The 25,167-nt window shown below is 43.7% G+C and overlaps 1 pseudogene across 2 annotated transcripts in view; it reads left to right on the forward strand.

Moving 5' to 3' along the window:
* Positions 1–25,167, forward strand: part of CD99P1 (CD99 molecule pseudogene 1) — a 47,965-nt pseudogene that overhangs the window by 14,531 nt on the left and 8,267 nt on the right. The window contains exons 9-10 of one of the 2 annotated variants that reach the window (NR_033381.1): positions 2,802–2,847; positions 14,179–14,534. The product of NR_033381.1 is annotated as a CD99 molecule pseudogene 1, transcript variant 2 (transcript). Of the gene's footprint in view, positions 1–2,801; positions 2,848–14,178; positions 14,535–25,167 lie in introns of those variants that run through there. The other variant, NR_033380.1, reaches the window with a different exon arrangement.

Here is a 25,167-nt window from a genome sequence, read left to right on the forward strand (position 1 = left end):
TCAAATAGTTAGATCGTTAGTGATTTTTTTTTGTTTACATGCTTGTTTAACTTGTAACACAGAAAAATATAACTAGTGTCCAAATCCTGTTGACAGTTTGATAGTTATGTGCTAGTAACGTTATTTTTGGCATATTCATATTTCTTGATGATTTTCTTATGTCATTTAAGTCTTTCTAACATGACTTTTACTGTCCATTTTATGTCCTTATTTATTTCCCACATAATTATATACTTCAATATTTAATTTTGACAATGTTATGTTTCTTCTAACATTTTAGAATTATGGATTTCAAAGTCAATTTGAATCAACTTTATGCACTTGTTTTTATTCCTTCGAATCAATTTCTAGAATGCAAATTGTTCAGATCAATGTGTATGAGTACTTCTGTAGTTTTGACCTGGTTCTGAAATTGGCCCAGAATTATATGAATTTATTTTGATGCCAGGGATATGTGCAAATGTCCCTTTCTTCCCACCATCGTTACTGCTGCTGATCACCTAGAAAACCTTTGTCATGTACTATCACATGTAACATTAATCTTTGCCTAGTTTCAGTTCTTTAGTTCTGCAATTTAAAAAAAAATAGTAAATAGTACATCAATTTGCCACGTATACTTCTTTTTTTTTCTTTTTTTTTTTTTTTGAGATACAGTCTCGCTCTGTCGCCAGGCTGGAGTGCAGGAGCACCATCTCAGCTCACTGCAACCTCTGCCTCCCGGGTTCAAGCAATTCTACTGCCTCAGCTCCCAAGTAGCTGGGACTGCAGGTGCATGCCACCATGCCCGGCTAATTTTTTTGTTTGTTTGTTTGTATTTTAGTAGAGATGGGGTTTCACCATGTTACCCAGGCTGGTCTCCAACTCCTGAGCTCAGGCAGTCCACCCGCCTCGGCCTCCCAAAGTGCTAGGATTACAGGCATGAGCCACTGCGCCCAGCCTACTTCTTCTATATGTATTGATTACTTTGCCTTTATTCTTATCTTCCGATATGTCTGTATTGTTTTATAAACGTTCCTCATTTTTTTATAGACATTAAATATTGCCAACCATTTACTATGAAAATGCTTTTTCATCTTATTTTTGCCATTGAATAGTTTAACAGTATTTTTTGACAGGCAAGTCTTCAAATTTTTATTCATGGTGTCTTATATTTGTCGGAGCTTTCTGATTTTGGTGACTTTTTTTTTTTTTTTTGAGAGAGTCTTGCTCTGTCGCCCAGGCTGGAGTGCAGTGGCACGATCTCCACTCACTGCAACCTCTCCCTCCCAGGTTCAAGCGATTCTCCTGCCTCAGCCTCCCCAGCAGCTGGGACTACAGGCACCCACCACCACGCCCAGCTAATTTTTGTGTTTTTAGTAGACACAGGATTTCACCATATTGGCCAGGCTGGTCTCGAACTCCTGACCTCATAATCTACCTGCCTCAGCCTCTCAAAGTGCTGGGATTACAGGCGTGAGCCACCGTGCCCAGCTGACGTTTTTTCCTTTGAACTTCAGAACCAACATGCCTGCAAAATTGAGATTTTTCTTGATATTCGATGTACCTCTTTCCCTGATGATTTCTTTTAATGCATTTCTAGTTTTTTCTTTTTTTTCATTTTTCTGGATATATTTTTATGCCCACTATCTTTCTGTTTATTTTTGTTACATAGAAAGGATTTAATATATTTTTCCTTACTATATCCTGAACTATGATCCCTTATTAAATTTCTATTTTTTCTCATTTCTTATCTTTCTAAGAAGACAATCATATTATTTGCACATGATTTTTAAATATTTTTCAATTTTCTATCTTTATATGTTCTCTTTACATTTTATTTGTATTTTTGTTGTATTACCTTTGATAGTAAACCCAGGACAGGTTTAAATATGAGTGAAGAGAGCAGATATTTTAAATTCCTGACTTTAAAGCAAAAACCCAAAGATACTCACCTTTAAATAAAATAAATTGCCTTTTTAAAAAATGTAGTCATTTCAGGAAGGGTCATTCTATTCTGGTATACATTTTTCCCCAAATATATAATATTATTGGTTTTCATACCATGAGGTTTCTTATTTCTTTATATATATATATTTGGATAATCATCTGGTTTTTATTGATTACTCATTAAAACCACGTAAGTTATTGATTACTCATTGAAACCATGTAAGTATATTCTTACATGGTTTTGGAAAAATGTCGGATTTGATGTAGCCCCTCATGTTTCTTTTATTTAAGCCTCCTTATTATCCCCTTTCAGTGTAAAAATTTCTCCAGCCTTAGTCAGGATTTGAAAAGCTTAAAACTAGAAGGCAACCTCTGAAACCACGGTGAATTTTCACGTCAGTTTGTCCAGTACGTCTGGGTTGATAGAGCCACCTTTTAGACACCCTCTAGCCCAAATCTGATCATAGTCATGTGTCCCCACCTCTTAGGGCCTCCGTGGCGGAAGGTGTTGGTTACCTGAAGGGAGATGGTGATGGGATGGGAAATCAACAGGAGGGAATCCTGTGTTGGCAGAGTTAGAGTTCCAACTTCGTCCAGCCAGCACAGTTCATTTATAAATTACTTTGTTTCTCTCTCTCTCTCTCCCTCTCTTTCCACCCCTGACTCTTGCTCTCATCTTTTACTCTTTGTGTCTGAGAGAAGAGTGATGTGAAAATGATCAGGAATTCACTTTTTCTTATGAGGTCCTGGTCACAGTGATACTTAGAAAACACTTAAGAACTTAGGCCTGTGGTGTTTTCTCCATCTGCTTCCAGGTCATTTCTTCCTCATTTCTCTCAGAACTTTGGTGTTAACAGCCTGTTTCCCTTCTTTAGGGGATGACTTTGATTTCACAGATGTTTCTTCATGGTGAACGAAACAGTGAGTAACTCTTTAAAGTCTCCTCTGTTGCCGAATTGCTTATAGTTTGTTTGTGTTTTTGGAGTGCTGTAGGAAGAGCAGTGATGAAGGTTTGAGGCTTCTAGATGCTTCCATATTAGTTGCCTGGGGCTCAGGCAGGGGCACACATGTGGACCCCTGGGGGGACATGACAGTTGAGCTAACAGCTGAGGAATGAGGATGACTTATATCCCAAGGAGTGGGTCAAAGGGTGTTTTGTGTAGCAAGTGTGGCATGTGCAAAGGGCCTGTGGTCAGTGGAACTGAGGGTGCCTGTGGGGCTCAGTGAGGGGGAAAAGAGGAAGTCAGGCATGGCATGGGATGGAGGGGAACAGAGTGAGGCTACAGTCAGTGCCCAGTCTTGAAAATGTCCCTTCGAGTGTCCCTAGGGGCCATCCTTGTTTTCAGTGCTTATTACCCCTGCTCCCCTCTGCTTGCTCCCAGAGAGCTGTCTCCTGCCTCCCAGCTCTGCGTCTCAGATCCTGGCTCTGATCCCACGCTGCTGTTGCTTACACTCATGTACCCATTGCTAATGTCATCATTCCCTTCGGCAGCTAAGTGCAAAGTTAATTTCCCATTTGAAAAGCAGTCTGTACTAATAACAATCAACTGGGAGACCCAAAAGAGTGCAGTTAAAGAGAAAAAAAAAAATCAAACTTTCCCTCAAAAGAAACCAGTGATACCATTTGGGTCCACCTCCCTGAGGTTTGAAAGCCTCTCCGTTAGTGTTAGTTGCTTTTAGGCCTCTTCTTGCTGCATTAGCAAGGTGTATCTTTCTCTTTATATGCAGACAGTGCCCTCTTCTGGTGGGAGGCTCTCAGTGTCTGTCTACAAATCCATGACCCAAGAGGTAGAGGGGTCCCAACGGTCCCACTTAACTTCTGCCAAAGTGGTGCCCTTGGGAATCCCCAACTTCCTGTGCCCACCTGTTCTAGCTACTTGGTTCACTTTGACCCAGCTCTTCAGGGGTGATACCCTCCCTCATCAGGCTCCCAGATCCCATCAGGTGTTGAAACCCCATGTGATAGGTGAAATACTGGTCCCCAGAGATGCCCACATCCTAACCCCTTGATCATGTAAATGTGTGACCTTATGCAACACATGGGACTTTGCAAATGGGATTACATTAAGGATCTTGACATGGGACGATTATTTAGGATGAGCTGTGTAATTACAGTGGAATCACAGGTTCCTTAGAGAGGCCTGCATCAGAGGATGAAGGAGTTGTTCACATGTGGAAAGAGACAGAAATAAAAGTGGAGAGGACCATTGAAAAAAAAAGTCATTGAAAGACTTTGGCACCCAGGTTGCCATGGCTGCCCCCAGCCCTTCAAATTCTCCTAAAGCCCCAAATGATCTTTCCCTGGAAGATGCACCAGCCCATTGGATAGCTTAGATGCAGCTGTTGGAGGGTGGATCTAGCCTGTGAGGACCCAGTAACCTGGACCCAATACATGACAACAAGGATTGAATGAGTGGTCGTTTACTGCTGAGTAATTGCTGGTTTTCCTGGCTACCTGGGCCCTGGGTCACATGGATGAGAGGGCTGGAAAAAATGATTATCAGCACAGAGTCCCAGAATCTCTGTGACTTCTGGTCACAGATATTTTGAGTGTATGTATAGAAAAAAGCAGTTGTTCCTACACATTCAGTGTCAGAAGTGAAGGATGAGAGGGGAGAGGGGTGTGCATGTCAAAGGAAAAAACAGCTTTTCCCCCCTGTACGTGAGGTCACAGCAAATTTGCAAGATTCAGTGCATGGTGAGAGAAGCAGGCAGCCGCTGACATCCAGGGGCTGGCCTGGCTCCCGCTACCTGGCTTGGGGTTTCCTGTTGGACCTAAGAAATGTCACAGACAGGACATTTTTAAAGTCAATAAGAAATGTCAGACAAGAGCACTGTGATGAAGTCAAGAGACCGTGGGTTGTGCTTTGGCTGGTTCTTGATTTATTTCTGCTCAAGGCAATCAGTATGCCAAGGTGGCATATTTCAGAGTGTCACGTAATGATCTACATTCTTATTCAGGGTGGGGTGTCCTGTACCCCATCAACTGGAAGGTTGTAGCACTTCCTGCTTTCTAGACATGGTAAATGAACTCCCTGGGTCACTGGGAAAGTTGTAGCACTTCCTGCTTCCTGGAGATGGTAAATAAACTTTCTGTGTCACATGGGAGGTTGTAGCACTTCCTGCTGCCCAGAGATGGTCAATGAACTTCCTGAGTCACTGGGAAGGTTGTAGTACTTCCTGCTTCCTGGAGATGGTAAATAAACGTCCTGGGTCACTGAGGAGGTTGTAGCACTTCCTGCTTTCCTAGAGATGGTCAGTGAACATCCTGGGTCACTGGGGAGGTTGTAGCACTTCCTGCTTCCTAGAGATGGTCAATGAACTTCCTGGAGATGTTAAATAAACTTCCTGGGTCACTAGCGAAGTTTGTAGCACTTCCTGTTTCCTGGGGATGGTAAGAGAACTTCCTGGGTCACTGGGGAGGTTGTAGCACTTCCTGCTTCCTAGACATGATAAATGAACTTCCTGGGTCATTGGAAGGTTGCAGCACTTTCTAGTTTAGAGGGACATTATAACACTTCCTGGTTTATCTGGAGATTGTAATGCTTTCTGATTCATAGGGACATTGTAAAACTTTCTGGCTCACATTGTTACATTTCCTGGTTCAAATGGATAATAGTAGCACTTCCTGGTTCACAGGGACATTGTGACACTTCCTGGTTCTTATGGGTAATTGTAGCATTTCCTGGTTCACAGGGACATTGCAACGCTTTTTGGTTCATACACATAATTGTTAGCACTTCCTGATTCCCAGGGACATTGCAACACTTCCTGGTTCATAGGGATAATTGTAGCACTTCCTGTTTCATAGGGACATTGTAATACTTTCTGGTTCATACGAATAACTCTAGTACTTCCTGGTTCATATAGATAATAGTAGCAATTCCTGGTTCACATGGACATTGCAACACTTCCTGTTTCACAGAGACATTGCAACACTTCCTGGTTCATTCTGATAATTGTATAACTTCCTGGTTTGCAGGGACATTGTAACACTTTCTGGTTCATATGGATAATAGCACTTCCTGGTTCATAGGGACATAGTAACATTTCCGGGTTCATACATACGGATAATTGTAGCACTTCCTGGTTCATACGGATAATTGTAGCACTTCCTGGTTTGCAGGGACATTGCAATACTTCCTGGTTCATATGGATAATTGTAGCACTTCTTAGTTTTTAGGATCATTGTGACACTTCCTGGTTCATAGTGACACTGCCACACTTTCTGGTTCATATGGATAATTGTAGAACTTCCTGGTTCATAAAGACATTTGGAACCGTCTGGTTCATAGGGATAATTGTAGCACTTCCTGGTTCATAGGGACATTGCCACACTTCCTGGTTCATCTGGATAATTGTAGCACTTCCTGGTTCATAGGGAAATTGTGACACTTTCTGGTTCATAGTGACATTGCCACACTTCCTGGTCCATGTGGATAATAGTAGCACTTCCTGGTTCGTAGGGACCTTACCACACTTCCTGGTTCATCCAGATAATTGTAGCACTTCCTGGTTCATAGGGATATTGCCACACTTTCTGGTTCATATGGATAATTGTAGCACTTCCTGGTTCATATGGATAATAGTAGCACTTCCTGGTTCACAGGTACATTACAACACTTCCTGGTTCATTCAGATAATTGTAAAACTTCCTAGTTTGCAGGGACATTGTAACACTTTCTGGTTCATATGGATAATTGTAGCACTTCCTGGTTCATAGGGAAATTGTGACACTTTCTGGTTTATAGTGACATTGCCACACTTCCCGGTCCGTGTGGATAATAGCACTTCCTGGTTCGTAGGGACATTGCCACACTTCCTGGTTCATCCAGATAATTGTAGCACTTCCTGGTTCATCGGTAAATTGTGACACTTTCTGGTTCATAGTGATATTGCCACACTTCCTGGTTCATAGTGACATTGCCACACTTCCTGGTCCATGTGGATAATAGTAGCACTTCCTGGTTCATAGGGACATTGCCACACTTCCTGGTTCATCCAGATAATTGTAGCACTTCCTGGTTCATAGGGATAGTGCCACACTTCCTGGTTCATAAGGATAATAGTAGCACTTCCTGGTTCACAGGTACATTACAACACTTCCTGGTTCATTCAGATAATTGTAGAACTTCCTAGTTTGCAGGGACATTGTAACACTTTCTGGTTCATATGGATAATTGTAGCACTTCCTGGTTCATAGGGAAATTGTGACACTTTCTGGTTCATAGTGACATTGCCACACTTCCTGGTCCGTGTGGATAATAGCACTTCCTGGTTCATAGGGACATTGCCACACTTCCTGGTTCATCCAGATAATTGTAGCACTTCCTGGTTCATAGGGATATTGCCACACTTTCTGGGTCATATGGATAATTGTAGCACTTCCTGGTTCATATGGAAAATAGCACTTCCTGGTTCACAGGGACATTACAACACTTCCTGGTTCATTCAGATAATTGTAGAACTTCCTAATTTGCAGGGACATTGTAACACTTTCTGGTTCATGTGGAGAATTGTAGCACTTCCTGGTTCATAGGGAAATTGTGACACTTTCTGGTTCATAGTGACATTGCCACACTTCCCGGTCCATGTGGATAATAGTAGCACTTCCTGGTTCATAGGGACATTGCCACACTTCCTGGTTCATCCAGATAATTGTAGCACTTCCTGGTTCATAGGGATATTGCCACGCTTTCTGGTTCATATCGATAATTGTAGCACTTCCTGGTTCATATGGATAATAGTAGCACTTCCTGGTTCACAGGTACATTACAACACTTCCTGGTTCATTCAGATAATTGTAGAACTTCCTAGTTTGCAGGGACATTGTAACACTTTCTGGTTCATATGGATAATTGTAGCACTTCCTGGTTCATAGGGAAATTTTGACACTTTCTGGTTCATAGTGACATTGCCACACTTCCCGGTCCGTGTGGATAATAGTAGCACTTCCTGGTTCATAGGGACATTGCCACACTTCCTGGTTCATCCAGATAATTGTAGCACTTCCTGGTTCATAGGGATATTGCCACACTTTCTGGTTCATATGGATAATTGTAGCACTTCCTGGTTCACAGGGACATTACACACTTCCTGGTTCATTCAAATAATTGTAGAACTTCCTAGTTTGCAGGGACATTGTAACACTTTCTGGTTCATATGGAGAATTGTAGCACTTCCTGGTTCATAGGGACATTGTAACACTTCCTGGTTCATAGGGACATTGTAACATTTCCAGGTTCATATGGATAATTGTAGCACTTCTTAGTTTTTAGGATCATTGTGACACTTCCTGGTTCATCTGGATTATTGTAGCACTTCCCGGTTTATAGGGAAATTGTGACACTTTCTGGTTCATAGTGACATTGCCACACTTCCTGATTGATATGGATAATAGCACTTCCTGGTTCATAGGGACATTGCCACACTTGCTGGTTCATCCAGATAATTGTAGCACTTCCTGGTTCATATGGATAATAGCACTTCCTGGTTCACAGGGACATTGTAACACTTCCTCTTTCATTCCGATAATTGTAGAACTTCCTAATTTGCAGGGACATTGTAACACTTTCTGGTTCATACGGATAATTGTAGCACTTCCTGGTTCATAGGGACATTGTAACATTTCCAGGTTCATACAGATAATTGTAGCACTTCCTGGTTCATAGGGACATTGTGACACTTCCTGGTTCATATGGATAATTGTAGCACTTCCTGGTTTGCAGGGACATTGCAATACTTCCTGGTTCATAGGGATAATTGTAGCACTTCTTAGTTTGAGGGACATTGTGACACTTCCTGGTTCATAGTGACACTGCAACACTTTTTGGTTCATATGGAAAATTGTAGTATTTCCTGGTTCATAACGACATTTGGAACCGTCTAGTTCATAGGGATAATTGTAGCACTTCCTGGTTCGTAGGGACATTGCCACACTTCCTGGTTCATCTGGATAATTGTAGCACTTCCTGGTTCATAAGGATAGTTGCAACACTCCCTGGGTCATCACCCCCATCCTGCCATCTGCTCCAGCCCTATGCAGCCACTCAGAAATCTACTTCCTATCCCATGGATTTGCCTATCAGGGGCATTTCAAACGGCCTCCCATGTGGTTTTGTGCCTGGCTTCTTTCACTCAGCATAATATTTTCGAGGTCCATCGATTTTGTACCATGCATCAGAATTTCATTCCTTTTGATGGCAGAATGACATTCCATTGTATGGGTAGACCACATTTTGTTTATCCATACACTTGTTGTTGGGCATTGGGTTATTTCCACTGTGTAACTACCATGAATAATGCTTAGCACTTAGCATACGGTTAAGACTTCTATGTACATACTTGTCTGAGTAACTGTCTTCAATTTTTTGGGTAAATACCCAGGAGGGGAATGGCTGGGTCATATGATAACTCTATGTTTAACCATTGAAGGATCCGCCAGGCTGCTTTTCAAAGCAACCGCACCATTGCACCATCCCACAAACAATATAAGAGTGCTCCAGTTTCTGCACATCTGAGCCAACACTTGTCACTGTCCATATTTGTCATTAGAGCCATCCTAGTGTGTATGATGGGCTATCTCATTGTGGTTTTGATTTGCATTTCCCTGATGACCAGATAGGTTGGCTTTCAAGTTTTCATGTTCTTTCTTCTTCTCTGTCAAGTAGATGAGTAATACTTAAATAAATATTTCTTACTCAGCATTTTGATGTATTTATTCATAGCCTTATTAATGCTTGACTTTATTTGTTTATCTCTCAGATATGGGTCTCTAAATGTCAGTTTCAAGAAGGAACTGTGTTTTGTTCAACTCCAAAATCCCCAGATCTATCTAGGACACTGCCTGAAACACAGAAGGGGTTAAAAAAATATGGATGAAATATAATAGCAAATGCATGTCCTATTTTAAAATATCGACAGTTATTCTATTTGCAGAACAATAAATTCAATGTGAAGACTAAGATACTGTTGATTATTTATGTGTGTATGCTCGTATATGTATATATACATACATATGTGTGTATACCTCTACATGTATGTATAGGTATGTATAGGTATACATATGTATATGTACAGACATATGTATAGGTATACATATGTATATGTACAGACATATGTATAGGTATATACACATATACAAGCATATATATATACATATGCAAGCATACCCACATTATGTACATATATGTAATATATATATATATACACACTCACATATACATACACACACACATATATTTACACATATCTTTATAAAACACAGACCTAGGATATTTTCCCTAGAATCAGGTCCAAGGCAGATAGTTGAAAAATGTCTGATTTCTAATTTGTGGTTGAAATAAAACTAAGAACATTTCATTATTTTCATCATGATTTATTTTGCTGACTTGTTGAACATATGCAGGCTTGTTACCTGGGTGGACTGTGTGATGCTGAGGTTTGGGGTATGACCGATCCCATCACCCGGGTAGTGAGCATGGCACCCAATAGGTAGTTCTTCAGTTCTTACCCTATCCCTCCCTCCACCCTCTAGGAGCCCCCAGTGTCTGTTCCTCTCTTTGTGTCCATGAGTACCCAATATGTAGATCCACTTATAAATGAGAATGTGCAATATTTGGTTTTCTGTTTCTGGATTAGTTTGATTACAATAAGAACCTCCAGCTCCATCCACGTTACTGTAAAGGACGTGGTTTTGTTCTTTTCTGTGGCTGTGTAGTATCCCACAGCGTCTATGGACCACATTTTCTTTATCCAGTTCACCCTTGATGGGCATTTAGGTTGATTCCATGTCTTTGCTATGGGGAATAGTACTGTGATCAACATGCTTGTGCAGGAGTCTTTTTGGTAGGATAATTTATTTTCCATTATGTATGTATCCAGGAATGGGATTGCTGAACTAAATGGTAGTTCTCTTTTTAGTTCTTTGAGAAATCTGGGAGATATGTCTTGGAATGAACTTCATATAGCTTTTTACTGCCTCCCTTTTAAAATGCTTCCAGAAGGCTGTCCCTTATTTGGTGCACAGAAACTGGCTAAAAAATAAATGTGACCAGCTGGGAGTGGTGGCTCACGTCTGTAATCTCAGCACTTTGGGAGACTGAGGCAGGTGGATCACCTGAGGTCAGGAGATCAAGACCATCCTGGCCAACATGGTGAAACCCCGTCTCTAGTAAAAATACAAAAAATTAACTGGGCGTGGTGGCGGGCGCCTGTAATCCCAGCTACTCAGGAGGCCAAGGCAGGAGAATTGCTCGAACTTGGGAGCCAGAGGTTGCAGTGAGCTGAGATGGCTCCACTGCACTCCAGCCTGGGCGACAGAACGAGATTCCGTCTCAAAAACAAACAAACAAACAAAAATTAGCCAGGCATGGTGGCACACACCTATAGTCCCAGCTACTCAGGAGGCTGAGGCAGGGGAATCACTTGAACCCGGGAGGCGGAGGTTGCAGTGAGCTGAGATCTCACCATTGCACTCCAGCCTGGGCGACAGAGCAAGACTCGGTCTCAAAAAAATAAATAAATATAAATACAATTAAAACAAATAATATAAAAACGTGACCTGCAGCCACCTCTCCAAGGGGCCTGGATACCAATGGAAGGAAGTGAAAAGGAGGAGATGAAAAATTTACACCTTGAAAGCTGAAAGTGTTCTAATATTACCAATGCTGTGGAGTCAGACACATCGAAAGTGACTCTAATACCTCCTGACATCCTTATGTTATGAATATGTAGACAATAGCAAATTATTCTCCGCTTTTTTCCAGCTCATTGAAACATGTTAGGGAGGAACATTTCTGCATTGACAACAGCTTTAAATATTTCATTAGTGCTTGGAAGAAACACAAGAATCTGTGACGCAGAAGGGAAATGAAAAGGAAAGCTTAGTCTCCATTTAGTTATGTTCCTCATAAATATTTCCCAGAGGCAAAGATGTTCTCTTTCATATTAAAAATACAAATAAACACTTCTCATTAGCCCAAGAAAATATTGTAGAGATTTTCATTATCCAAAAAAGGCACACTTTCAAGACACACGGAACAGAGACGGCACATTGCCTTAGCTTGCTTCTGGCTAGCATGTCTGGCTATTGACCGGATTTTATTTTTAAATGACTAAAATAATATATTAACTAAATGGTAAAATTCATATTCAGCATTGGCTTGAGGGCATCGGAGGGTTTTGGCTGGCCCAGTCATCTCTACCAGTGAAGAAAGCAAGGAAATAGGTCATTTCACTCAGGGACAGCTTGAAAACAGAGATTTCATGGAGCTTCCTCATTCCGTCAGCCTAGAGTGGGATTTTGGCTGTCACCCTTCAAGGATGAAAAGGTGCAGAGGACATTGGGCTGCAGACAGGGCGCTCGTTTAAATGATTTAAAAGTTTTGGTCAGTCGTGGTGGCTCATGCCTGTAATCCCAGCACTTTGGGGCGCCGAGGCGGGTGGATCACCTGAGGCCAGGAGTTCGAGACCAGCCTGACTAACATGGAGAAACCCCATCTCTACTAAAAATACAAAATTAGTCGGGCGTGATGCCACATGCCTGTAATCCCAACTACTCTGGAGGCTGAGGCAGGAGAATTGCTTGAGCCTGGGAGGCGGAGGTTGCGGTGAGCCGAGATCGTGCTATTGCACTCCAGCCTGGGCCACAAGAGCAAAACTCCATCTCAAAAAAAAAAAAAAAAGTTTCCATCTGGCTGGACACGGTGGCTTACGCCTGCAGTCCCAGCACTTTGGGAGGCTGAAGCAGGTCAATCACTTGAGGTCAGGAGTTCAAGACCAGCCTGGCCAACATGGAGAAACCCCATCTGTACTAAAAATACAAAAATTAGCCAGGCGTGGTGGCGGGTACCTGTAATCCCAGCTACTCTGTAGGCTGAGGCAGGAAAATCACTTGAACCCTGGAGGCAGAGGTTGCAGTGAGCTGAGATTGCACCACTGCACTCCAGCCTGGGCGACAGAGCAAGACTCCGTCTCAAAAAAAAAAAAAAAAAAAAAGTTTCCATCTAAGCGAGCTCTGTTGGTTCTCCCACCTCTGACCTTATGAGTTTTCTTCTTTAACCTGCACCTTGTTCTCTGAGTCACTTTGCACTTGAAGGTACAGCTACAGCTTCCCCATCAGACTTGTTGGTCGTTTATCAAAGGATGAAAAAGTTCTTCCTCCTTTGGGTCTTTAACCCTGTTTCCTGGTGTAAGACAGCTTTTATGTTTGCTACCTGCTGGAATCAACTTGAAATTTTCTCCCAGAAAATTTGTGAATTTATCTTGTTCAAGTTACTTGTGGTCAATAAGTTAATAAAGATAGGTAGACAGACAGACAAATACATTGATACAGATAGATAGATTCATGATAGATGATTGATAGATAGATATTACACAGATACATAGATACATATCTTAGACCTGATATATACAGGGTGGGTGGATAGATAAATGAATAAATAGATAGATAGATATTACATAGATAGATAGATACATAGATTAGACCTGATATATACAGGGTGGGTGGATAGATAAATGAATAAATGGCTTGATTGATGGATTGATGATTGATGGATTGATGGATTGGTAGATAAATGAATAAATGGCTAGATACATGATTGATTGATTGGTAGGTAAATGAATAAATGGCTAGATACATGATTGATTGATAGATGATAGAGATTAGATAGATATATAGATACATAGATTAGACCTGATAGATATATGGATATATATACAGGATGGGTGGATAAATGAATAAATGGCTAGATACATGATATAGATAGAGCCAATACATACATAGGTACATAGACAGGGTAGGTGGGTAGATAGATGAAGACATGGATAGATAAATATACACAGAGATAGATCAATGATAGAAATGGGTATATAGATATATGAATGATAGAAGATATTTTGAGAGAGAGATGATTAATAGGCAATTGATTGACATATTAGATGACAGATAAAAAGTGGGTAAAATGCAAGTAAACTGTAAGCCAAACGTCCACGTGGAATAGCGTGGGAAGCATTGAGAAGACGCTTTTTGGTGCTACCTGTTTAAACATTGAAAAACTGAGCTAATACCCTCCACAGTACGATAGAGGGGAGGGCACTGGGAATTTATACCTCCCAGGAAAAATAAATCATGGTAAACAGGCAGAGATCTTTCCAGATTCCAGTTCTTGGGGGTAAAAGGTCCCCAAGATGCCCAGTTTGTGACAACCTGTTTTGAACTATTCAGCTCAAGGTTTCCATTTTTTCTCCCAGGGGAGTTGCCTCGATTCTGATGTGTTTGCTTCGGTGCTCTGTGTATTGTATTCATCCCACTCTTCAATTCATAAACTCTGGAGATTCTTCAATTCACTGGGCAAACCATATGCCTAAGTCTATCCTCTGATGGAGGCTCGTACATGCAAAATCCAATAGCAACCTGGGAAGATTTCAGTCAAGACCCAAGAGGAGGCTGGCATCAGGCTCTCGGTCACCGATCTTCACATTCAGGTTTCCTGATGCACTTTGCGACTCTTTGGGCAACCTCTGGACTCCTTGTTCCCAGGGTCCACATTTAGTTTTATCTTTACTGCATTGCTTTTATGAAAAAGAATAAAATTGGATGAAACAGATACAGAGTATTGGTGTCAACCTAAGTATTGGTGTCAACAAAGAGATGGTTTGGATCTGGTTCCCCACCACATCTTAGGTTGAGTTGGAATCCCCGGTTTGGAGGTGGCGCCTGGTGGGAGGTGACTGCATTATGCGGGTGGTTTCCATTGAATGGTTTACCACTGTCCCCCATGGTGCTGTTGTGGCGGAAGTGAGTTATCATCCAATCTGGTTGTTTAAAGGGTGCAACAACTTCCCCACCCCGTCCTGCTCCTGCTGTGGCCATGTAAGATGTGCCTGTTTCCCCTCTGCCTTCCGCCATGATTGTAAATTTCCTGAGGCCTCCCCAGCCGTGCTTCCTGTACTGCCTGTGGAACCGTGAGCCAATTTAAACCTCTTTTTCTTTATAAAATTACCCTGTCTCAGGTATTTCTTTATAGCAGCGTAAGGACTGACTAATACACTCTGTAATAGAAAAGATGTTTATTTGGGAGTATAGTAGTGCGCTGAGAATAGATGTGCCATATTAAACTGTGTTCATATTCAGGGAGGTAAAGGGGAAAAAAGGATTTTAAAGGAAATAATGAAGAGGATTCCATAATTCTTTTCAAATGATTATCCTTGGCTAAAAAGATCAATAACATGGTGACACCAGTCTGAGTTTGGACAGCCAGTTTTTGGGCAGATGTCCTCGTGGAAGTATTTTTCTTTGCAAGGGTGAGATTTTTGCAGTCTCTTACGATAGTTTTTGTTATCAGGCATATAAGCATAAAAACCATTAATATACACTAGAGATGCATTGAAGAGCTTATAAAATTGTTAAGGTTTTCTTCTTTGGTCAGTGTCTAAAATATGAGTCAGATATTTCCTTGGTTATCTTTGAGATTTATGTGGTCCCAGGTTTCTCCTGGGTGGGTAGAAATTACTGCAGCATGTACAAAACTGTCCTTCATGCCATATTTCTTCCTACCATTATACGATGAAAACTAACAAAAGAGAGTTTTATAAAATGTTCTTCCTCTTTCTCTCTGGTACCAATAGGAAGCACAATTGTTTCCCCATGGTTCTTCACAAAGGTTCTATTGCACTAAGTTTTAAAGCCTTGTGTATACACAATCACATTCACATATACCACACATACACGTGCATATACACAGTTACATCCGTACAGATACATACATGCACATGTATACACAGATAAACACATACATGCACAAATATAGACACATACACAGACACACATTCACATGTATGCGGACACACACACATAGACACATATACCTATGCACAGAAACCATACAGATATACACATACATAACATACATGCACAGGTATACATACAAACATACACAGATATGTGCATACACATATACACACATAACACATGCATGCACACATATCCACAAGCCTGCAGATATACACACGTACACACAGATATGCATATTCATACATACCAAACATACATTCATACTTACACCTATACACACACATACACAAACACATACAGAGATATACACACATGCACACAAATACATACACACATACATACACAGATACACATGTACATACATACCAAACATACATGCATACTTACACCTACACACATACACAAACACATATACACAAACACACATACACAGGGATATGCACATGCACACAGATACCCACATACACACGTACATACTCACATAGAGTTACACACACACACGTGCACACGCAACTTTGGCATAATGGAAATTTGATGATTGGTCATTGGAGTCAACCATACAGCCCCTGTCAGAAACAAAGGACCAAAGTCGAAGGGGACATGGATGCACAAACATCTCAACATCTACGGAACCACGTAACTTGGAGAAACATGCAACCAACTAAGGACAGAAGATTCGAGTGACTGCAACTCTGTTTTTTTTTTTTTTTTGAGATGGAGTTTCGCTCTTGTCACCCAGGCTGGAGTGCAATGGTGTGATCTCGGCTCACCGCAACCCCCGCCTCCTGGGTTCAAGCGATTCTCCCACTTCAGCCTCCTGAATAGCTGGGATTACAGGCATGCACCACCATGCCCAGCTAATTTCATATTTTTAGTAGAGATGGGGTTTCTCCGTGTTGGTCAGGCTGGTCTCGAACTCCCAACCTCAGGTGATCCGCCTCCCTCGGCCTCCCAAAGTGCTGCGATTACATGCGTGAGCCACCGTGCCCGTCCTAACTGCAGCTCTTACTTTGGAATTCAGGCAGCTACGGAGCCAAGATTCCTGGAGCCCACAGGCGTGTGGCTAATACATTTCCCTTCCTTTCCATAGAATTGGGTTGGTTTTGTTGCACTGGGTGTCTGGTAGCTCCGGAGAGAACAAATATAAATGTGAAAATGCATACCTTGGTCATCAGTGTTTCTCAACAATTCTCCATCCCACTTAACAAGGCCTCTGCTAGAACTCTGGGGTCCGTTCCAAGAGGAAAAACATCCCTGCCTAGAAGAAGCAAATGGAAGAATGTACTCTATGCTGCCATGTGTGTTCTCATCAGGCCTTATCTAAGTTTCTCACCAGGAGATGTTGAAAAATATTGCTTGATGGACGAAGGGTAACGTACTGCAGTTGTTTATTGAGAAATGCCAGCCGTCATCTCTTGCTCGTTAGCTGCTCTGAATGCTCTTAGAAGGCACCATTCATGCCGCTGTATTCGGGACTGCTGAATTGTGCCACATTCCTTGGTGTTACGCGTGTCTCTTGTTGATGAAGTTCTAACCACAGTGCCATTGTGAGGCTGGAAATGTCCTTGGGTGAAAAAGCGGCCCCTGGGTCACCTTTCCCATGATTCAGGTGCATGTGAACCCCTCTAGTGCTTTACTGCCAGGGTCCAGGAGAGAGGGAAAGAATGTCACTGTCCCAGCATCCTCTAATTTACTTGACAACACAATTGTTCTAGTGTCAAGAGTTTTGTTTTGTTTTGTTTTTGAGATAGAGACTCGCTCTGTCCCTCAGACTGGAGTGCAGTGGCACGATCTCGGCTCACTGTAACCTCTGCCTCCCGGGTTCAAGTGATTCTCCTGCCTCAGCCTCCTGAATAGCTGAGATTACAGGCACCTGCCATCATGCCTGACTAATTATATTTTTGTAGAGACGGGGCTTCACCGTGTCGGCCAGGCTGGTCTTGAACCACTGACCTCAGGTGATCCGCCTGCCTCAGCCTCCAAAAGTGCTGGGATTACAGGCCTGAGCCACCATGCCCAGCCAGGTATTTTTTTTTTTTTCTTCAGCTCAAGAATGAAGTTTTTCTTAGTATCCTGTAGCTAAAATGATGCTTCTCCAATTTTATTTATTAAAAACGCCTAACGCTGGCCGGGTGCAGTAGCTCACGCCTGTAATCCTAGCACTTTGGGAGGCCAAGGCAGGTGGATCACGGGGTCAGGAGATTGAGACCATCCTGGCCAACATGGCAAAATCCCGTCTCTACTAAAAAAAAATAGAAAAAATTAGCCGAGTGTGGTGGCGGGCGCCTGTAGTCCCAGCTACTCAGGAGGTTGAAGCAGAAGAAGCGCTTGAACCTAGGAGGTGGAGGTTGCAGTGAACCGAGCTCGCGCCGCTGTACTCCAGCATGGCAACAGAGTGAGACTGTTTCAGAAAAACAAACAACAAAAAAAAACAACTAATAGTAATGATCACATTTTTGGGCTCAAACATCTTAATTCTGGAAAGAGGAGATGCCACAATGGATACCACACTAAAGAGATGCTCTGGAGAATTTTGCAAGGGAAGAAATTGTCATCTTAGGGAGGGCACACTGGGGAAGCTTTTCAGACACTGGTCATTCACCGGTATGATTAGAAGAAATGCCACACAGACCTCAGGATACCTTGACCCAGACGGGGTCACTCTGATGCCTTCTGAAGTGAGAAATTGATCACGTTACCACAGCTAGTCACCACTCACTGGGTGACTTCAGACAAAGAAAATTGACGTTGTCACCGTTCCAAAGACCAGAAGTCTGAGATCTAGGCGTGAGCAGGGCTGCGCTACCCTGGAGGCTCTAGGGGAGGATCCTTCCTGCCTCTCCCAGCTCCTGGGGGTTCCAGGTGTTCCTGGGCTTGTGGCCACATCACTCCAATCCCTGCCTCCATCTCCACGTGGCCGCCTCCTCTGTGTCTCCAAATCTCTATCTCCTTGTAAGGACACTAGTAATTGGATTTAGGGCCCACCCTAAATCTGGGATGATCTCATCTCAAGATCCTTCACTTAAGTATGTCTGCAAGGAACCTATTTCTAAATAAGATCCTGTTTCTACATTTTGAGGGTGAGGACATGCACATCTTTTTTTTCTTTTTTTGAGACAGACTCTCACTCTGTCACCCAGGCTGGAGTGCAATGGCACGATTTCAGCTCACTGAAACCTCCACCTCCTGGGTTCAAGCGATTCTCTTGCCTCAGCCTCCTGAGTAGTTGGGATTACAGGCGTCCACCACCACACCTGGCTAATTTTTGTATTTTTAGCAGAGACAGGGTTTTGCCATGTTGCTCAGGCTGGTCTCGAACTCCTGACCTTGTGATCCGCCCGCCTCAGCCTCGCAAAGTGGTGGGATTACAGACGTGAGCCACTGTGCCTGCCGCACATATCTTTTTATGACTCACAACAATATGCAACTCTGGCATGCAATCATGCTAGTGGTTTACTTGGGCAGACCCTCCAGGCCTGCGTGGCAAGGGAGTGGGGGTTCACGCCACAGCAAAGAGGAGGAAGGAAAACCCCTGTGCTTCAGCTTTTTCGGATCACAGGAAAGAGCAAACCCAGCAATTCAAGGGCAGCGGTCAAAGACTGCAGGTATAGAGCATGAGAAGCAGTGAGCACAGGGCTGGAGGGGGGCACAGAAATGGTAGCAAAGGTCAGGGATATGAGGGGATAGCTTGAGGTGGGGCCGACCTTCATGGGAGGGATGGCAGAAGGCGAAGATGATTCAAAGGGAGGATGGGGCACCGGTAACATCAGCTCCAGGAGCTCAGGAAAGTGTAGAAGGGAGCTCCTTCTCCATCCAAGACTGACCCCGTGTCTCTCACGCTTTGGTGCAAGGATGCATGGATGCTGAGACTCATAGGAAGGGTGTGTGAGGCATGAAGCATGTGGGAAGTGGAAAAAGGGAAAGAGGAGGAGAAGGGCTGTGGGGAAATAAGTGAGTAGAATTGAGGAAACAGACCATTGACTTAATTCTTGAAAGGATTCAAAGGCCAGGTGCAGTGGCTTATGTCAGCAACCCCAGTTACTCAAGAGGCTGAGAGAGGAGGATCACCTGAGACCAGGAGTTTGAGATCAGCCTGGGCAACATGGTGAAACTCCGTCTCTACTAAAAATACAAAAATTGGCTGGGCAGGCTGGTGGGCACCTGTAATCCTAGCTACTTGGGAGGCTGAAGCAGGAAAATTGCTTGAACCAGGAGGCATAGGTTGCAGTGAGCTGAGGTCGTGCCATTGCACTCCAGCCTGGGCGATAGAATGAGACTCTGTCTCAAAAACAAAAAAACAAAACAAAAAAGATACGGGTTGAGCACAGTTGCTCATCCCTGTAATCCTAGCACTTTGGGAGGTTAATGCAGGAGGATTGCTTGAGACCAGGAATTCAAGTCCAGCCTGGGCAACATAGTGAGACCCCATCTCTAAAAAAACAACAAGAAAAACACAAAAATATACATCATGACACCTGTATTCACACTCCTCATATACTGCAGACAAATGCCATTTTGAAGAGAGGGAGCTTTATTCCTGAGTGGGCGGAGGAAGAAGGATGAATTGAGGAAGTGTGTTCATTACTTGTCAGCTGCCAACACTGAAAACAACACATGTTTATTTTCTTACATTTCTGTAGGTCAGGAGTCTGAAATGGATTTCACTATTTTAAAATCAAGGTGTTGGGAGGCTTGCAGTCTCTCCAGAATCTCTAGGAGAGAATTCATTTCTTACTTTTTCTAGTTTTTACAAGCCACCTGCCATCCTTGGCTCATTAGCCGTTACCCCATCTTCAAAGCACATGACTCCGACCTCTGCTTCCATCCTCACATCCCTTTTTTCTGCGGTTAAATATCTCCCTTCCTCTCCTTATAAAAGCCCTGGGACCCCACTGTGATTCCATAGATCATTCAAAAAATGTCCCCATCTTAAGAACCTTACCTGAATCCTATCTGCAAATTCCTCTTTGTCCTAAAAGTTCACAAGTTCTAAGAATTAGGATGTGGGCATCTCTGGGGACCAGGATTGTACCTGCCACATAGGGTTTGAACACCTGATGGGATCTGGGAGCCTGATGAGGGAGGGTGTCACCCCTGAGGGGCTGGGTCAAAGTGAACCAAGTAGCTAGAACAGGTGGTCACAAGAAGTTGGTGATTCCCAAGGGCACCAGCTTGGGAGAAGTAAGTGGGGCAGCTGGGGACCCCTCCACCTCTAGGGTCATGGATTTGGAGCCAGGCACTGAGAGCCTCCCACCAGGAGAGGGCACCGTCTACATATAAAGAGAAAGATAGGCCGGGCACAGTGGCTCCTGCCTGTAATCCCAGCACTTTGGGAGGCCGAGGTGGGTGGATCATCTGAGGTCAGGAGTTCGAGACCAGCCTGGCCAACATAGTGAAACCCCGTCTCTACCAAAAATACAAAAATTAGCCGGGTGTGGTGGCGGGTGCCTGTAATCCCAGTTACTCGGGAAGCTGAGACAGGAGAATTGCTTGAACCCAGAAGGTGGAGGTTACAGTGAGCCAAGATCACACCACTGCACTCCAGCCCGGGCTGGAGTGAGACTCAGTCTTAAAACAACAACTAGCTGGGCGTGGTGGCACACACCTGTAATCCCAGCTACTTGGGAGGCTGAGGCACGAGAATCGCTTAAACTTGGGAGGCGGAAGTTGCAGTGAGCCGAGATCACGCCACTGCACTCCAGCCTGGCTGACAGAGCGAGACTCCATCTCAAAAAAGAAAAAAAAAAAAAAAAAGAGAGAGAGAAAGATACACATTGTATATGCAGCAGGACCAGGCCTAAAAGCAACTAACACTAACAGAGAAGTTTTCAAACCTCAGGAAGATGGACCCAAGCCATATCACTGGCTTCTTTTCAAGGGAAAATTTGATTTTTTTTTCCCTTAACTGAACTCTTTTGGGCCACCCTGTTGACTGTAATGAGCACAGACTGCGTTTATCGTGGGAAATGAACTTTGCAATGAATTACTCCAAGAAATGATGCCGTTAGCAATGGGTACATGAGTGGAAGCAACAGCAGCGTGGGATCAGAGCCAGGATCTGAGAGATGCAGAGCTGGGAGGCAGGAGAAAGCTGTCTGGGAGCAAGCAGAGGGTGCTAGACCCAATGAACATGGCAAGCAAGGCTAGACCCTGAGGACAGTCAAAGGGCCATTTTCAAGGTTGAGGACTGACTGTGGCCTCACTGTGTTCCCCTCCATGGCACGCCATACCTGAGCTCCTCTTTCCCTCCTCACTGAGCCCCACAGGATCCTCGGTTCCATCGACCACAGGCCCTTTGCACGTACCACACTTGCTACACAAAACTTTCTGCCTCTACCTTGTGCTGTCTTCATACTTCAATTGTCAGCTCCACTGTTAGCTCCATGGTCACTTGCCCTTAAAAGTTCACATCTGTGGCCGGGTGCAGTGGCTCACTCCTGTAATCCCAGCACTTTGCGAGGCCGAGGCGGGCGGATCACGGGGTCAGGAGATTGAGACCATCCTGGCTAGCACGGTGAAACCCCATCTCTACTAAAAATACAAAAAAAATAGCTGAATGTGGTGGCATGTGCCTGTGGTCCCAGCTACTCAGGAGGCTGAGGCAGGAGAATCACTTGAACCTGGGAGGCGGAGGTTGCAGTGAATGGAGATTGCGCCACTGCACTCCAGCCTAGGCGACAGAGCGAGACTCTGTCTCAAAAAAATTTAAAAAAAAATAAAAAAGTTCATATATCTGTGTCCCTGCCTGACCCAAGCTGACCATGTTATAAGCATCTAGAAGCCTCACCTCCTTACTGCGGCTCTGACCACGGCACTACTTTTATATCCTGTGGGCAATTTTGTTTAAATATCCGCTTTCCTCGTTAGACGCTAAGCAACATGGGAGTGAGTGTCTGGCCATGGTTTGCTCATCTGTGCATCTCCAGGACTGGCTGGGTTCCTGGGTATGAAGAAGCAGCGGTCCACACACATGGGTGAACCTGTGCTTCTTCTCACCACTACACTGCTTGGCTTCCTTATTTCCTTCCTGTCACCTGGAATGCCTACCCTGTACTTCTCTCCAGCTCCAACACCATCATTTACCACCTCGTTCAGCTCCCAGGCATCCTAGAAGCCTTTCCTGACCACAGGGGTGCATCGTGGTGCACAATTCCTTCAGCTGCCACTATGGTGCAAGATGAGTCTAGAAGAACAGTTTTGCTGTGCGGTCACCCTTACTCACTATTGTGATTTTGCCTTTAACATATTGAAAAAGACACAGAAAACACACACCATCCGATCAGTTAGTTGCAGACACATCGCCCGATGCTAAGAATGTGCTGTGTTTTAAATTGACGTCTGTTGGCTCTTCAGCTTCTGCTCTGGGCTTCTTATGTCCCCACTCGGCCCTGAATCCCATTCCCCCAAATCTCAGTAACTTTGGTGGCTTTTGCACCAGCCAAAATCAGATCCTAGGTCTTGAGCAAAACCAAGAGCAAGGAAAAAAATCCCACATGGGAATCTGAGACCTCACTCTAATGACTTCAGTTGCTGTTGACTTGATTTCCTTCAACTGCCGAAGGAGGTTAGAACAGTTTCCTCTTGCTTCTAGGACAAAGCATCACAGACTTTGCAGCTTAAAACAATGCACATTTCTTTGCTTACAGTTCTGGAGGTAAGAAGTCTGAAATTAGTTTCCTGGGGCTCCCATCAAGGTGTCAGCAGGGCTGGCTTCCTTCTGGAGGCTCTAGGAGAGAAACGGTTTGCTTGACATTTCCAGCTTCTAGAGGCTGCCTACACGCCTTATTATGTAGCTGCTCCCTCCATCTTCAAAGCCAGCAGTGTAGCATCTTCCAATCTCTCTCTAACTCTGACCCTCTTGCTTCCCTCTTTCCATGATAAAGACCCATGTGATAACATTGGTCCTACCTGGGTAATCCAGTAATGTCTTCTCATCTCAAGCTCAGCTGATCAGCAACTTTCATTCCATCTGCAACCTTCATTTCCCTTGCACAGGTTCTGGGAATCAGGACATGGATATCTTTGGAGCCTGCTATTGCTTCTACCTACAACTGGTGTTACAAGACTTGGCCCACTTAATCTTGCAAATTCTTTCTGCCCCTCTCCTGTGCTTAATGAGATCTGTTCTCTATGAATGTTCAGGACCTCAGGAGTAGGGACCCCAAAGGCTGGGGGCAAAGTAGATGTGACAGGTGCCAAGCATAGGATGTGTGACCAGATTCGGTCATGTGATTACATTGTGAAGTGACCCAGGCATTTTCATTAAGAAGGAAAGTGGTTGTAGGAGGAGGAAATTGAACACAACCCACACATGGGTGGTTGGAAAATCTGAGACCTCTCGTGGGCATGCTCATCCATTTCACTCACCGGTACAGGGGAAATTCTTAGACCTGTCAGTGCAACTATTTGAAATAAACATCCAAGAAAGGCAGCAAACTTCAGGTAGGATGAAGTCAGAAGTCCACCCTGAAGCACAGTAAAAGCCACAAGACAGAAGTGACTGATCCCATCCCAGGGATCCTAAAGAAGATTATCATCAGACTTCTCATTGGAAACTTTGGAAGTCGGAAGGCAGTAGGCTGATAAATTCAAAATGCTAAAAAAGAAAACCAATGAAAACATGCTAACCAAGAAAAAAAAATGCTACATGGCTGAAGAAATCATGCAGAAATCTTAGCAACATTTTAAATGATCCAACAAGGTCTGTTGTTTCTGCGCAAATATGGGCAAACATGAGCTGGTATAGCTTATTTTTATGGGTGCAGGGAGCATGCAGTTATCTCCACTAGCATGTTTTTGTTTGTTTGCTTTGAGATGGATTCTCACTCTGTCGCCCAGGCTGGAGTGCAGTGGCACAATCTTGGCTCACTGCAACCTCCGTCTCCCGGGTTCAAGCAGTTCCCTGCCTCAGCCTCCTGAGTAGCTAGGATTACAGGTGCCCACCACCATGCCCAGCTAATTTTTGTATTTTTAGTAGAGATGGGGTTTCAGCATCTTGGCCAAGGCTGGTCTTGAACTCCTGACCTTGTGATCCACTCACATCAGCCTCCCAAAGTGCTGGGATTACAGGTGTGAGCCACCGCATCCAGCCTGTTTTTCTTTTCAACTCATGCATAGGTTCAGAATTTAGTTCCAGGTATGTGAGAGCTCCTTGTAGATGTTTTTCATGATGAGGCACCTGGCTTACCAGACTTTATCTGACTTCTTGCTTTATCTTCCCAACAGTTCAGCACCGTGGTGCGGTACAGGGTCCCATTAGCAGGTCTCATTTCCCACCACTGACTGAACATCAGCAGGCTCAATCCACAAGTCAGGGGCTGGGGATGTCTTGTCAAGAATTCCCTCTTTAGGGGCAGGAATGAAATTTATAACAACATCCATACTGTTTGATGGAGCCCTCTCTACATGGCAGGTGCTTTGCAAGCACTTTCAGAAAATCTGCACCA

Source organism: Homo sapiens, chromosome Y (assembly GCF_000001405.40).
Source record: "Homo sapiens chromosome Y, GRCh38.p14 Primary Assembly".
Taxonomy (NCBI): domain Eukaryota; kingdom Metazoa; phylum Chordata; class Mammalia; order Primates; family Hominidae; genus Homo; species Homo sapiens.